The 14,154-nt window shown below is 39.3% G+C and overlaps 1 long non-coding RNA gene across 3 annotated transcripts; it reads left to right on the forward strand.

Moving 5' to 3' along the window:
- The first annotated feature begins 5,873 nt into the window (after positions 1-5,873).
- On the forward strand, positions 5,874-8,513 carry LOC102725168 (uncharacterized). 3 transcript variants are annotated; one of them, XR_933709.3, is made up of 3 exons: positions 5,874-5,967; positions 6,922-8,188; positions 8,307-8,513. It is a non-coding gene; the product is annotated as an uncharacterized LOC102725168 (long non-coding RNA). The 3 variants fall into 3 exon arrangements; XR_933711.3 differs by having other exon boundaries at positions 6,922-8,030; XR_933710.2 differs by lacking the exon at positions 8,307-8,513 and having other exon boundaries at positions 6,922-7,252; positions 7,422-8,300.
- The last annotated feature ends 5,641 nt before the right edge of the window (positions 8,514-14,154 follow it).

Genomic DNA, 14,154 nt, shown 5'->3' on the forward strand with positions numbered 1-14,154 from the left:
CTTTGCTTCTACTGTTCATGTAAAAGTACACTCCAAAATACCAAAGGGGTTTCTTGTAATAAATTCCTTTCAGTTTTCATAAGCAAGATGGCTTTTAAAATGAAAGGAACATTCACGTAGCTGAATGTAAGTTTACGCATACATTCATTATGCACACTTTAGTCATCTTACTAGGCAAAAGGCATATTTCAGAGAAATTATTTTTAAGGGCTGATATTAGGACTAAAGTTCCAATCTTGACTTTGTTTAACAGACCAAAAAGCAACAAGATGTTAAATGGGAACTGTCATGCTTTATCTAACCAAGTGAAGTGCTATACAGCAGAAATTGTAAACTGACAGCCCACAGATTGGATCAGACCCATAGAAGAGGAAGTGTGGAATGGCAGGCAGGAGAGGATTTATTAAAATAAATTGCCCAAATCTTAAAATTGGGAGTTCTCACATGAAAGTGTTAATCTCCATCTTCTTGTGACAAAATGTAAATACCTGATAACACTGGGCTCAGGACCACAGTCAGCTCGATTTGAGAAATGACTGTCCCCTTTGGGTGGCCACGTACTTTCCAGGTGGCCGCAGACCCCATCTACCTCTGTTGTGCTATGCCCAACCTCTTTGCCTTCCTTATATTACCAGCCGGAGACCAGAGAATGGTAAAAGGTCACTGTTACTTCCCATCGTGGAATTGGCTACATCTGTCCAAACATACTCAATGTGGAAATGGTAAGTTTCATGAGGGCAAGCGTAGACCTGCCGCTTGTGTATGTATCCCTTTGTCTATTTTATTTTCCATTATATCCCCTGCATCTCACACATATCAGGTACTTAATATACTTCTGGGATAGATGAATGGAGAAGGGACACATGGGAAGGAGGGAGAAGAAGGTAGATAAAAAGATCTTGGGCCCCTCATCGGAGAGGGGAACATGTGGAACACTTCAAAGTCATCAGACACCACTGCCTTGTTAGTGTGGCTCCGGAGAAGTACGGGGGCCCCAAAGCCCAGCCAAAGAAAGGGTTATTACCGCATGTTATATCCACTGTCCTAAAGACTCTTTTTCCTGAAGAGGAAAGAAGCAAATGAAGGAAAGAGAAAAGAGAATTCCCCAAAGATTTTTTTTTTTTTTAAGAGCACATTGGCTAAGACCATGGACATCACTGTCAGAACAATCTGGATTTGAATCTTGGTTCTGTTTGACCTTGGCTAATTTGTTTTACCTCTTTGGGCCTCAGTTTTCTAATATTTAAAATGGGATAATGCTTGCTTTGCAGAATTTGTGTGGGTATTTAATGAGATGATTCATATAAAGCACTTAGCAGAGTGAAGGTAAATAGTAACATCTTAAAACACATTGTAATTACTGTCACCTCTTTTTACTGAAACATCAGTTTTTTTATTCTCCACTGGATTATTCCCATAAGAAGAAAACATATTGCAATAGCTCCTGTTTTAAAATATATATATATAAATTAAAAATCCATCTCTTGATTCACATCCCTTTCCATATACCACCCCATTTCTTTGCTCTTTTTTAGAATAAAACTTCTCCAAATAAAAGTTATTCAAACTCATTGTCTCTAGATCCTCTCTTGCCATTCTCATTTGAAGCTGTCAGGCTTTTATCTCTACTACTTCCCTAAAAGAGCCCTGGTTAGGATCACCACGGATGTTGCCATGACAAAATCCACTGATCAATTCTCAGTTATCGTTTCCCTTGATCATAGACACCGATGATCCCTCGCTCTCTTTCCTGAAAATCTTTCTTCACTTGGCTTCTGGAATCCACTCACCTTATCTCACTGGCCACTCCTGAACCTTCTTTGCTCACTCATCATCTTGCAATTGATAATTGTTTTCTAATTACTAGAAAATTTTATCCAGTCTTATGACTTTATTGTCATTTTCATTATAATGACTCTCAAATGTTTATCTCCAGCCCAGACCCTTCCCTGAACTCCAGCCCTCTCTATAGAACTGCCACTTGTGTATATATATCTACTTGCATGTCAAGTGAGAGGGTTTAGCTTAATATTACCAAAATGGAACTCTTGGATTAGAAACAACAGCATCCCAGTAGCAATAAGGGAAAACCTGGCATCTGTACCCTGTACCTTGGTTTCAAATATCATTTTCCAATAAAAGGAACCAGGGTTCCTTAAAGAAATGGCTGATTCTAGGGCTGAGGCAGAAAATAAAAAGGACCAGCCTTGAGCACATTCTGGTGCCCAAAAGTATGGAAGTGCAACACACACACACACACACGTGGGATGTCAAAAAGACCTAAAGGCTGGGCACGGTGGCTCACGTCTGCAATCCCAGCACTTTGGGAGGCTGAGGTGGGAGAATCACTTAAGTCCAGGAGTTTGAGACCAACCTGGGCAACATAGCAAGACCTGTCTCTACAAAAAAAAAAAAAAAAAAAAAAAAACAAAAGTACAAAAATTAGCCAGGTGTGATGGCATGCACCTGTAGTCCTAGATACTCAGAAGGCTAAGGCATGAGGATCACTTGAGCCTGGGAGGTCGAGGTTGCAATGAGCCAAGATATGCTACTGTACTCCAGCCTGGGCAACAGAGTGAGACCCCATCTCAGAAAAACAAAAACAAAAACAAACAAACAGAAAAAGACCTAGGAGTCAAAGGAAAGCGCTCCCAATGGTCAAAGCTGCAACAATTTGAGCAATGAAATAAAGTAGTATTGGACTATAACCCAAGGTATAAAATAAAAGTCTATGAGTCCATACTCATATAAATGATTAAATAAGTAAGTAAATGGAGACCAGATGAATGCAGAAGAATTCCAAATAATGTATGCAGATACTCCACCACCAAGGAGGTAGAGTATCTACATTCCTTAAGTGTAGGCTGTTCATAAGGACTTCCTTTCAAAGAGTACAGCATGGAAAAGGGTTAAAACTGTAACTTTACTGTAGAAAAACCTGAAAAATCCTACCTTATCCAGATGCTGAAGATTAACACCAACAGGATAAGTCATGTTGACAGTATGCACCCTTGATATGATGTGATGAGAAGGACACCATACCTCTGGGGTCTTCCTCCCAAAAACCCATAACACCAGTCTAATCACGATAAAAAAAAAAAAAAAAAAAAAAAAAGGCCGGGCACGGTGCCTCACGCCTGTAATCCCAGCACTTTGGGAGGCCGAGGTGGGTGGATCACAAGGTCGGGAGATCGAGACCATCCTGGCTAACACGGTGAAACCCCGTCTCTACTAAAAAAATACAAAATAATTAGGCAGGTGTGGTGGCGGGCACCTGTAGTCCCAGCTACTCGGGAGGCTGAGGCAGGAGAATGGCGTGAACCCAGGAGGCGGAGCTTGCAGTGAGCCGAGATCGCGCCACTGTACTCCAGCCTGGGTGACAGAGTGAGACTCTGTCTCAAAACAAAAACAAAAACAAAAACAAAAAAAATCACTGGACAAATCCTAATTGAGGGATACTCTACAAAATAGCTGATTGGCACTCCTCAAAACTGTCAAGGTCATCAAAGACAACGAAAGTCCGAGAAATGGTCACAGCCAAGAGGAGCCTAAGGTGACGTGATGAGTAATGGAATATGGTATCCTGGATGGGATCCTAGAATGAAAAAGGAACACTCGGTAAAAACTAAGGACATCTGGATAATGAATGGACTTCAGTTATTAATAGTCCATCGATATTGGTTCACTAACTGTGACAAATGTATATTAAATATATTAAGAATAGGGGAAATTGAGTGTGAGATATATGGAAACTCTGTATTACTGTCACAATGTTTCTGTAAATCTAAAACTTTCCTAAAACTAAAAGGTTGTAAAATATTAAACTCCTTCTACAATAAAATGCAGTCTTTCCCATCTCAATAAATGCGAACTCCACTCTTCCAGTTGCTCAGGTCAAAACTTTTGGAGTCATCTTTGGCTGCATTCTCTTTTTTACACTCTGTACCCAACATCCAAACATACTCCCATCTCAGGGCTTTCCACCTTATGATCTCTCTGCCTGAAATTCTTTCTCCCCAGATGATCACATAGCCTCTTCCTTCATATCCTTCAAATGTCAACTTCACCACCAAGGCCTTTCCTGATTGTGCCTGTAAAATAAGAGAACACTCCACCACAGTATGACCCATCCCCCTCAAACTGTCCTACTGTTCATAGAATTTATCTTCATGACAAAGAAAAAGCAGTCCCTGACAGCCAAGAGCTTGCCTGACACCTTCAGCTAGGCTGGGGTGTTCTCCTGTTGAACATAAACAACTTCACAGAACAAGATCAGACAAGACCCCTCTGTGTCCACGATGGATCAAAACAAAAACAAGACCACTCCATAATCATGTTTGAACATAGACAAAAACATGAGCATTGTCCAAAACACAGCAGCGATCAAGCATCCTGATATTCTGCTAATAGGAGTGACTGCTGCTGCTTCACCAACAATAGATTTGGCCTTGCTCTGTTCGCCTCGCCTTCTAGATGAGAATTTTTGAGGTACTGTGATAGGCAGAAGAGTGCCCCTCCGAAGATGTTCACAGTCTAATCCCAAGAACTTGTGAATATGTCACTTTATATGGCAAAAGGGGATTTGCAGATGTGACCAAGTTGAAGATTTTTAGAAGGGGAGATTATTCAGAATTATCCAGGCGGGCCCAATGTAATCACAATGGCTCTTGTAAGAGGAAGACAGTCGGGTTGGAGTCAGTGAAGGAGATATGACAACACCATGCTGCTGGCTTTGAAGATTAAGGAAGATGCCATAAGCCAAGGAATGCATGTGGCATCCAGATCTGGGAATGGCAAGAAGACAGGTTCTCCCCTGGAGCCTCCAGGGGAGAAGAACCAGACCTGCTGGCACCTTCATTTTAACCCAATGAATCTGATTTTGGACTTCCTCCAGAACTGTAAGATAATTTTTTGCTGTTCTAAGCTACTAGGTTTATGATGTTTCATAATGGCAGCAGTTGGAAACTAATACAGATACCCAGATACAGAATGACCCCTGCTTCCTGGAAGCATCCAATCTGGAGCAAAGAACCACTTCCTTGAATCCTCCCCCAAATCACCCAACACAACTCCAAGCCCTATCATTATTTCTTCCTAACATCTCACTAAGAGATATTCTACAAAATAGCTGATCGGCACTCCTTAAAACTGTCAAGGTCATCAAAGACAAGGAAAGTCCGAGAAACGGTCACAGCCAAGAAGACCCTAAGGAGACGTGAGGACTAATGAACTATGGTATCCTGGATGAGATCCTAGAATGAAAAAGGAACACTAGGTAAAAACTAAGGACATCTGGATAATGCAGCTCCCCAGCATACATTCTCTCTCACTGCCAAGAGCCAATAAAGGCAACTTCGCTCAATTACAGGTATAATCCCATTGCTCTTTGGCTGTAGGGCATTGACAACCTTCTGGTGTTCCAAATATTTAACTGTTTATTGTCTGTCTAACCCAGCACTGCATTCCCCAAGCCTGGATCACCATAAATATATAATAAATAATAAGTCAATCTGTCAATAATTAATCAGTGTTATTAAGGATCCTGAGGCAAGTATGATGAAATAGAAGTGTTTTAGGACTGTACCTCAGGTAAGCTAAGCCAGTCAATCCAACTTATGGCAGGTGAATGTTTATTTCCTGAAATTTTAAAGGAAAATGAGTGTTTTGAGTCATAGAAGGGTTTTATCTATCTTTCTTTTCTTAGTGAAGTTCCACAAGTACAGTTCTGGCCTTGGCAAAATGGGAAAAGGTGAGGTCTACACTGTAGCCAGGAGAACCTGGCTGGATGCAGGGGTGGGAGTGGACAGAAAAGAATGATCCAGGGACCTACTGTCACGGTGATGTCATAGTAACCATTACTGTGATCTCTTTACCAAGTGCCAGGCACTCTTCACGTGCATTGTCTCGGGCAACCTGTAAACAGCCCAAGAGTTAGATAAAATTGCTGCCTCATTCTACTGAGAAAAAGTGAGTCTCCAAAAGATGTTTGCCTAAGATCATGTAGCTAACAGGTGGCAGAGTCTGGATCTGAACCTAGATCTGTCAGATGGTAAAGCTTGACTATCCTGCTACAGCAACCAGAGCCCAAGAAACCCACCTACGATGGGGCGGGGGTGGAGTAACAGGTCAGTGCTCAGGAGGCACAGTGCTGGGAACACCTAGGTGCTAGGTTTTTGAGCTCACACTTTTCTAAACTCCTGTGCAGCTGATGATTAAATGTGAGTTCTCAGAGTTCCCTGAAGAACTTCCTGGCTCTATAGCCTTTAGTTACAGTGACAATTTATTCATATATTCATTCAATCAATGTTTATTCATGGAGTACCTAGGATGTGCCAGCACTGAGACAGGGTACAAGGCCCTCTACCAAATTATTTACAACTGGAAAATATTCCCCATAGGTTTGGTTTACCATGGTTCAGCCTGGAGATCCAGGAGTGAACAAGATGATGATAAGATTCCCTTCCAGCTTTGGGTCTAATGATCCTGGGTGCTCCTGAAACTGCTCAGGTGGTCAGTGAGTGCCCCCCTGGTAATTTCTGCCCAGAATGATTGACAGGAGAGACAACAAGTTCCTGGCCTGCGTTTCACCCCAGTGGCCGATGCATCTGAAATGCCTGCAGTTCTCAGCTCTTGAACAGAACTGAGGAGTCTTGAAAGAGGCCATGGCATGCCCTGTGGGGTCTCCAGGCAGCTTTGATAGGCCCAGTTGGCATTTGCTATAAAAACTTATTAAATCCAGGCCTTTCTTCTGCAACTGAGACTCCAGAACAGCTGCCCCTGACAAACAATAAAGAAGAGCTATCGAAGTCACATCATGGGCTGGAACCAGAAAAGAAAATAATAATAAAAAAAATAAAAAATAAAAAACTCTTGTCTGGTCCTCGCAGAATAATGACTTCATCTGATGCTGCTTTTCCACAGGGGCCACTGCAGGGGCCATCCTGGAGGGAGTCACAATGCAGGAGGACAGTGGCAAGTTCAAGAGCTACTGCAGCCGGGGAACAGCAGGACAGCAGCACGTTCAAGGGCTCTTGCAGCAGGGCATAGCAGGGAAAGGCCTCCCTGGGTCTAACCAATTTACTCCTATTGATTTTCAGATCAGAGGGGTTCAGCTCACAAATCAAAAGATGGTTTTCCCTCCCTGCTGCTAAATCTGCAGCCTCTCCCAGACACCTCACAAATTCTGCTTTGATCTTGATTAGCCTGGATGCTTCTAGGTTGGAAACTGTATGGAGGAGGCAGAGATCTAAAGGTAATCTGGGCTGCACCAGTCAGCCTGGCATGGACTGGTGCATGTACGTGTGCTCACAGGTCCTGGGCGATGAGGCCGGGCAGCCCAGTGGTGAGAGGTCTGGGAGCTGGGTCCTGATGTGGGCATCATCACCCACTTGTTTATAACCTTTCACACTTAAACTCCCTAGGCTCTTTTTCTCAATTGTCAAATGGAAATAAGAGCCATTCCAGCCTTATGGCTAAGGAACTGGAGCTTCAGAATCAAACAGAACTGGGTTCAACTCCCACCTATGTCCTGTGTTACCTCAGGCAAGTCACATCACCTCTCTGAGCCTCCATTCCTTCATCTGAAAAATAAGCTTCCAGCAATTCTGGACTCTCAGAGTCATTGTGAGAATGACTCAAGATGATGCACATAGAAGTATTTAACACTTGAATGGCTTCTAGCAAGATCAGGAAACACCACCTATTACTACTAAATGGGGCTTTGGTAAGAATAAAACAGAATCATGTGTGTAAAGTGCTTTGAAAAGTACAAAGGACTGAAAAGACTCTGAAGGCTTCTGGAAATCAGTCTACCACATTTTGGAGCTGGGGTTAGGAAAGACCCTTGGAAGAGGATCCAAAGAAAGACACTCCAGAGCAAGATATATAGGAGGCCCAAGGACAACCTGCAGTGCAGGGCAGGCCACTTTCTGGGGCTCCAGGTGTTTTCTATATGATTGTGATCTTGATGCTCCCCACCTCACCCCACTGTCAGCCCCAAAAATTCCCATTGTATACAATTCCTTTTACAGGTGAGAGTCATGCTGGTAACACCGCCTGTCATCAGAGCCTTCCAGCTCTGGCAAGGACTGCTTCTTGCTATGCCAACAACCATTCTCACCTTCCTCCTTTATAAAACGATGCCAGTTGTATTTAAGCGGCAATATTTCCCAGATTCTGTTGAATCTAGGTATGGCCAGGTGACTATGTTGTGGCCAACAAGATGTAACTAGAAGTGTTTATGGAGCTTTTGCAAAAACTCTTTGAAAAGAAAGTTATTTCTCCCCCTTTTCCCCCTTTATGACCAGACCTACAGCGTGGCATGGATATCCACTGGCTGGCACACCAGAAGCCATGTTAGACTAAGAGGTGACTCAGGATGGCCATGCACTGGAGGTAGCAAAGCAGAGAGAAAGGAGTCTGCCTGATGACAGCCTACAGCCTCCATTACCAGGCCTGGGCCAATCACCTCTGGACTTTTTCTACATGAGAGAATAAACCATTATATGTTTAAATCTGTATTGTTTCCAGCTTTTATATGGCAGGAAGAAGTCTTACTAACTTCAACTGTTTAAAATTCTGTTCAGAGGCCTAGTGCCTAGTAGGTTATTCCCAGCCTGAGCCCTGAGCTGAGACTCATTACTAATGGCTTTCAAATCAGTGGGAAGCAAGTTTGGAAATGTGTTCATCATCGTTACTGGTAAATATTGATTAAGATTCCACCCACGCCTTGGAGGCAGGAGGTGGTGTTAGCTTCTCTGCTAAGGTTTTATAACACAGAAATCTTCAAGTAGAGAAGTACTCTCTGCTATCCCAATTGGAAGAACCAAGGAGAATTTCATGGAGGGTTTTATTTTGGGGGCTAGGTCTTAAACAATAATTAGAATTTCCATCAGCATGGGAACACTTCCAAACTTGTTATAAGGCCAGCGTCATCTGATATCAAAGCCATAGGCTTTGCAAATATATGCAACATATGCAAATCAACCAGTGTGATATACAACATTAACAAATGAGATAAAACCCCATGATTATTGATGCAGAAAGAGCTTGTGACAAAATTCAACACGTAATTTATAATAGACATTGTCACTAAATTAGATACAGAAGGAACTTATCTCAGCACAATATATATTCATATATGAACAACCCATAGCTAACATCATATGGTGAAAGACTGAGAGCTTTTCCCCTAAGATCTGGAACATGACAAGGATGCTACTTTCACCACTTCCATTCAATGTAGTTCTGGACATGATAGGCAGAGCAATTAGGCAAGAAAAAAAAAGTCATCCAAATCAAAAGGAAGAAGTAAAACTATCCCTGTTTGCATACTTCATGATCTTATATATAGAAAACCCTAAAAGACTTCATAAAAATTGTTAGAACTAATTAATCAAAGTTTCAGGATATAAAAAATCATTAGAAACAAATTCAGCAAAGTTACAGGATATAAAATCAACATACAAAAATCAGTTGTGTTTCTAAACACTAACAACAAATTATACTAAATGAAAATATGAAAACAATTCCAATTATGACAGCACCAAAAAGAATAAAATAGGAATAAACTTAATCAAGAAAGTAAAAGACTTGTACCCTAAAAACTATAAAACACTAATAAGAGAAATTAAAGACATCCCATGTTCATGGATTGGAAGAGTTAATAATGTTAAAGTGGTCATACTATCCAAAGTTACTTATAGATTCAATGTAATCCCTACTAAAATCCCATTGACATGTTTGTAGAAATACAAAAAGCAATTCTAAAATTTATATGAAATCACAAAAGACCCCAAATAGTCAAAGCAATTTTGAGCAAAAAGAACAAAGCTGGAGGCATCATACGTTCTGGTTTCAAAAAATATTACAAAGCTACAATAATTAAAACAACATGGTACTGGCATAAAAACAGACATATAGACCAATTGAATAGAATAGAGAGCCCAGAAATAAACCCATGCATATGTGGTTAACATATCTTTGACAAGGGTGCCAAGAACACACAATGGGGAAATGTTAGTCTCTTCAATAAGTGATGCTGGGAAAACTGGGTATCAACATACAAAAGAATGAAATTGAACCCTTATCTTACACTATACACAAAAATCAACTCAAAATGGATTAAACACTTAAATGTAAGACCTGAAACCTTAAAACTTCTAGAAGAAAAACATAGAGGGAAATATTCCTGATTTTGACCTTAGTAATAATTTCTTGGATATGACAAGAAGCACAGACAACAAATGTAAATATAGAAAAGTGGGATTACATCAAACCAAAAGCTCTGCACACCAAAGCAAACAATCAACAAAATGAGAAGGCAATGTAAAAAATGCGCAAAAATACTTGTAAACTGTGTATCTGACAAAGAGCTAATACTCAAAACGTATAACTCCTACAACTCAGTAGCAAAAAACAAAACAAAGAACTCAATTAAAAAGTGAACAAAGAAACTGAATAGACTTTTCTCCAAAGAAGATATACAAAAAGCCAATAGATGTAATGAAAAGGTGCTCAACATCACTAATCATCGGGGAATGCAAATCAAAACTACAATGAAATATGACCTCACACTTGTTAGGAAGTCTATCATCAAAATAAACAAATAACAAATATTGGTGAGGTTGTGCAGAAAAGGAAACCCTTGTACATGGTTTATGGGAATGTAAATTGGTGCAGTCACTACAAGAAACAATATGGGTTTTTCTCAAATATTAAAACTAGAACTACCATATGATCCAGAAATCTTACTTCTGGTATACATCCAAAGAAAATAAAATCAGAATGTTGAAGAGATATCTGCACTCCCATTTTCATTGTGGCATTATTCACAATAGCAAAGGCATGGAAACAACCTAAATGTCCAATGACAGATGAATGGATAAAGAAAATGTTTTATATATATATATATATATATATATATATATATATATATATATATATATATACATACATATATATACATATATATACATATATATACATATATACGTATATATATATACACACATATATATATACACATATATATATACACACACATATATATACACATATATATATATAAAATATCACTCAGCCTTAAAAAGAAGGAAATTCTGCCATTTGGGAAAACATGGATGAACCTGGAGGGCACTATGCTAAGTGAAATAAGACAAAAACAGAAGGACAAATACTTACATGATGGACAACCACTTACACGATCAGTCTAAAATAGTCAAACTCATGGAAACAGAGAGTAAAAAATAGTGGTTACCAGGGGATAGGGGGAGGAGGAAATGAGGAGATATTAGTCAAAGGGCATAAAGTTTCAGTTATACAAGACGAACAAGTCCAAGGAACCTACTATCCAGCAGTGTCTACAGTTAACATGTACTGTACTGTGTACTGTAAAATCCACTAAGAAGATAGATCTTACGTTAACTGTATTTATCACAATAATAATAATAATTAATAGTGTGGGAAAATTTGGGTTTTTTTAAAAAAAGAATTTCTTTTAAAAAAATGTAGTACTTTTAATATAGCCAATTGATTCTCACAGAATTCTTTCTAATTTTTTTCATCAACTTTTATTTTAAGTTCTGGGGTACATGTGCAAGATGTGCAGGTTTGTTACCTAGGTAAGCGAGTGCCATGGTGGTTTACTGTGCAGATCAACCCATCACCTATGTATTAAGCCCAGCATCTATTAGCTATTCTTCCTGATGCTCTCCCTCCCCCGACTCCCCTGACAGGCCCCAGTGTGTGTTGTTTCCCCTACGTGTGTCCATGCTTTCTCATCCTTCAGCTCCCACTTACGAGTGAGAACATGCAGTGTTTGGTTTTCCGTTCCTGTGTTAGTCTGCTGAGAATAACAGCTTCCAGCTTCATCCATGTTTCTGCAAAGGACAGAATCTCATTCCTTTTTATGGCTACATAGTATTCCATGGTGTATATGTGCCACATTTTCTTTATCCGGTCTATCACTGATGGGCATTTGGATTGATTCCATGTCTTTGCTATTGTGCATAGTGATACAATGAACATATACGTGCATGTATCTTTATAATAGAATGATTATATTCCTTTGGGTATATACCCAGTAATGGGATTGCTGGGTCAAATGGTGTTTCTGTTTCTAGATCTTTGAGAAATCGCCACAATGTCTTCCAAATGGTTGAAGTAATTTACACTCCAACCAACAGTGTAAAAGTGTTCCTTTTTCTCTACAACCTCACCAGCATCTGTTGTTTCTTGACTTTTTAATAATCGCCATTCTGACTGGCATGAGATGGTATCTCATTGTGGTTTTGATTTGTATTTCTCTAATGATCAGTACACCAACAACAGGCATGCAGAGCGCCAGATCATGAATGAACTCCTATTCACAATTGCTACAAAGAGAATAAAATACCTAGGAATACAGCTAACAAGGGAAGTCAAGGACCTCTTCAAGAAGAACTACAAACCATTGTTCAAGGAAATCAGAGAGGACACAAACAAATGGAAAAACATTCCATGCTCATGGATATGAAGAATCAATATCATGAAAATGGCCATATTGCCCAAAGTAATTTATATATTCAATGCTATTCCCATTAAACTACCATTGACATTCTTCACAGAATTAGAAAAAAAAAACTTTTAAAATTCATATGGAACCAAAAAAGAACCCATATAGCCAAGACAATCCTAAACAAAAAGAACAAAGCTGGAAGCATCACGCTACCCATTTTCAAACTACTCTACAAGGCTACAGTAACCAACATAGTGTGGTACTGGTACAAAAACAGACATATAGACCAGTGGAATAGAATAGAGAACTCAGAAGTTAGACTGCACACCTACAACCAAATGACCATTAACAAACCTGACAAAAACAAGTAATGGGGAAATAATTTCCTATTTAATAAATGGTGCTGGGAACTGGATAGCCACATGCAGAAAACTGAAACCGAACCCCTTCCTTATGCCTTATACAAAAATTAACTCAAGATGGATTAAAGACTAAAATGTAAAAACCAAAACTATAAAAACCCTAGAAGAAAATCTAGGCAATACCATTCAGGACATAGGCATGGGCAAAGTTTTCATGACAAAAACGCCAAAAGCAATTGCAACAAAAGCAAAAACTGACAAATGGGATCTGATTAAACTAAAGAGCTTCTGCACAGCAAAAGAAACTATCATCAGAGTGAACAGACAACCTACAGAATGGGAGAAAATTTTTGCCATCTATCCATCTGACAAAGGTCTAACATCCAGAGTCTACAAAGAACTTAAACACATTTACAAGAAAAAACAAACAACCCCATTAAAAAATGGCCAAAGGACATGAAAAGACACTTCTCAAAAGAAGACATTCATGCAGCCAACAAACATATGAAAAAAAGCTCAGCATCATTGATAATTAGAAAAAAAGAATTTCAACCAGCAAAAAGGGGTAAGGAGACCAGACAAAGCACCAGCACAGGCAAATAATCAATTTTGGAGTAAGATGGAGTAGCATGAGTTACAGACAGCTTCGGATGTTGTACCAGATTATTCAGGCATTATTATGTAGAATTGTACCTCTGAGAAATTGAATAAGGGATCATTACTTTTTAAAAAAAAATGATTTCAAGTCATAATTGCTAAGAACTACAGTCACAATTGCATAAAAATATATAGACTATAAATAGCTATACACATATAATATAGAGATTTCGTATATATAGTACACATAAGTTTTTTAAAAGATTGCAGTGAGTTAAAAATGGTTAACACTGATTGAAGATTTCTGGGTGTTCTTCATTCATTAGTTCTTTTTATCCCCATGACAACCCTTTAAGACAAGTATTGTTATTATCCTTATTTTGCAGACAAGAACTGCAGTAACTTGCCCACGTTCTCACATTTAGTAAGAGGCAGTGCCAGGATTTGAAAATTGCCTGGGTCTGTTAAACTCCAAAGTCCATCTCCTTAACCACCAAGCCCAACTCCTTACAAAACGATTCATACCAACATGTCAACAGTGGTTACTTATAGGTGGAGCGATCATAGGGAACTATTTTCTATTTTGTACTTTGTACTATTTTGTATCCTTTCCTAATTTTCTACAAGCAAGGTATATTACTTTATATTTATATTGTGAAACATACCACATTTAGAAAGCAAGCATAAAGCATAAATTTA

Source organism: Homo sapiens, chromosome 16 (assembly GCF_000001405.40).
Source record: "Homo sapiens chromosome 16, GRCh38.p14 Primary Assembly".
Classification (NCBI taxonomy): domain Eukaryota; kingdom Metazoa; phylum Chordata; class Mammalia; order Primates; family Hominidae; genus Homo; species Homo sapiens.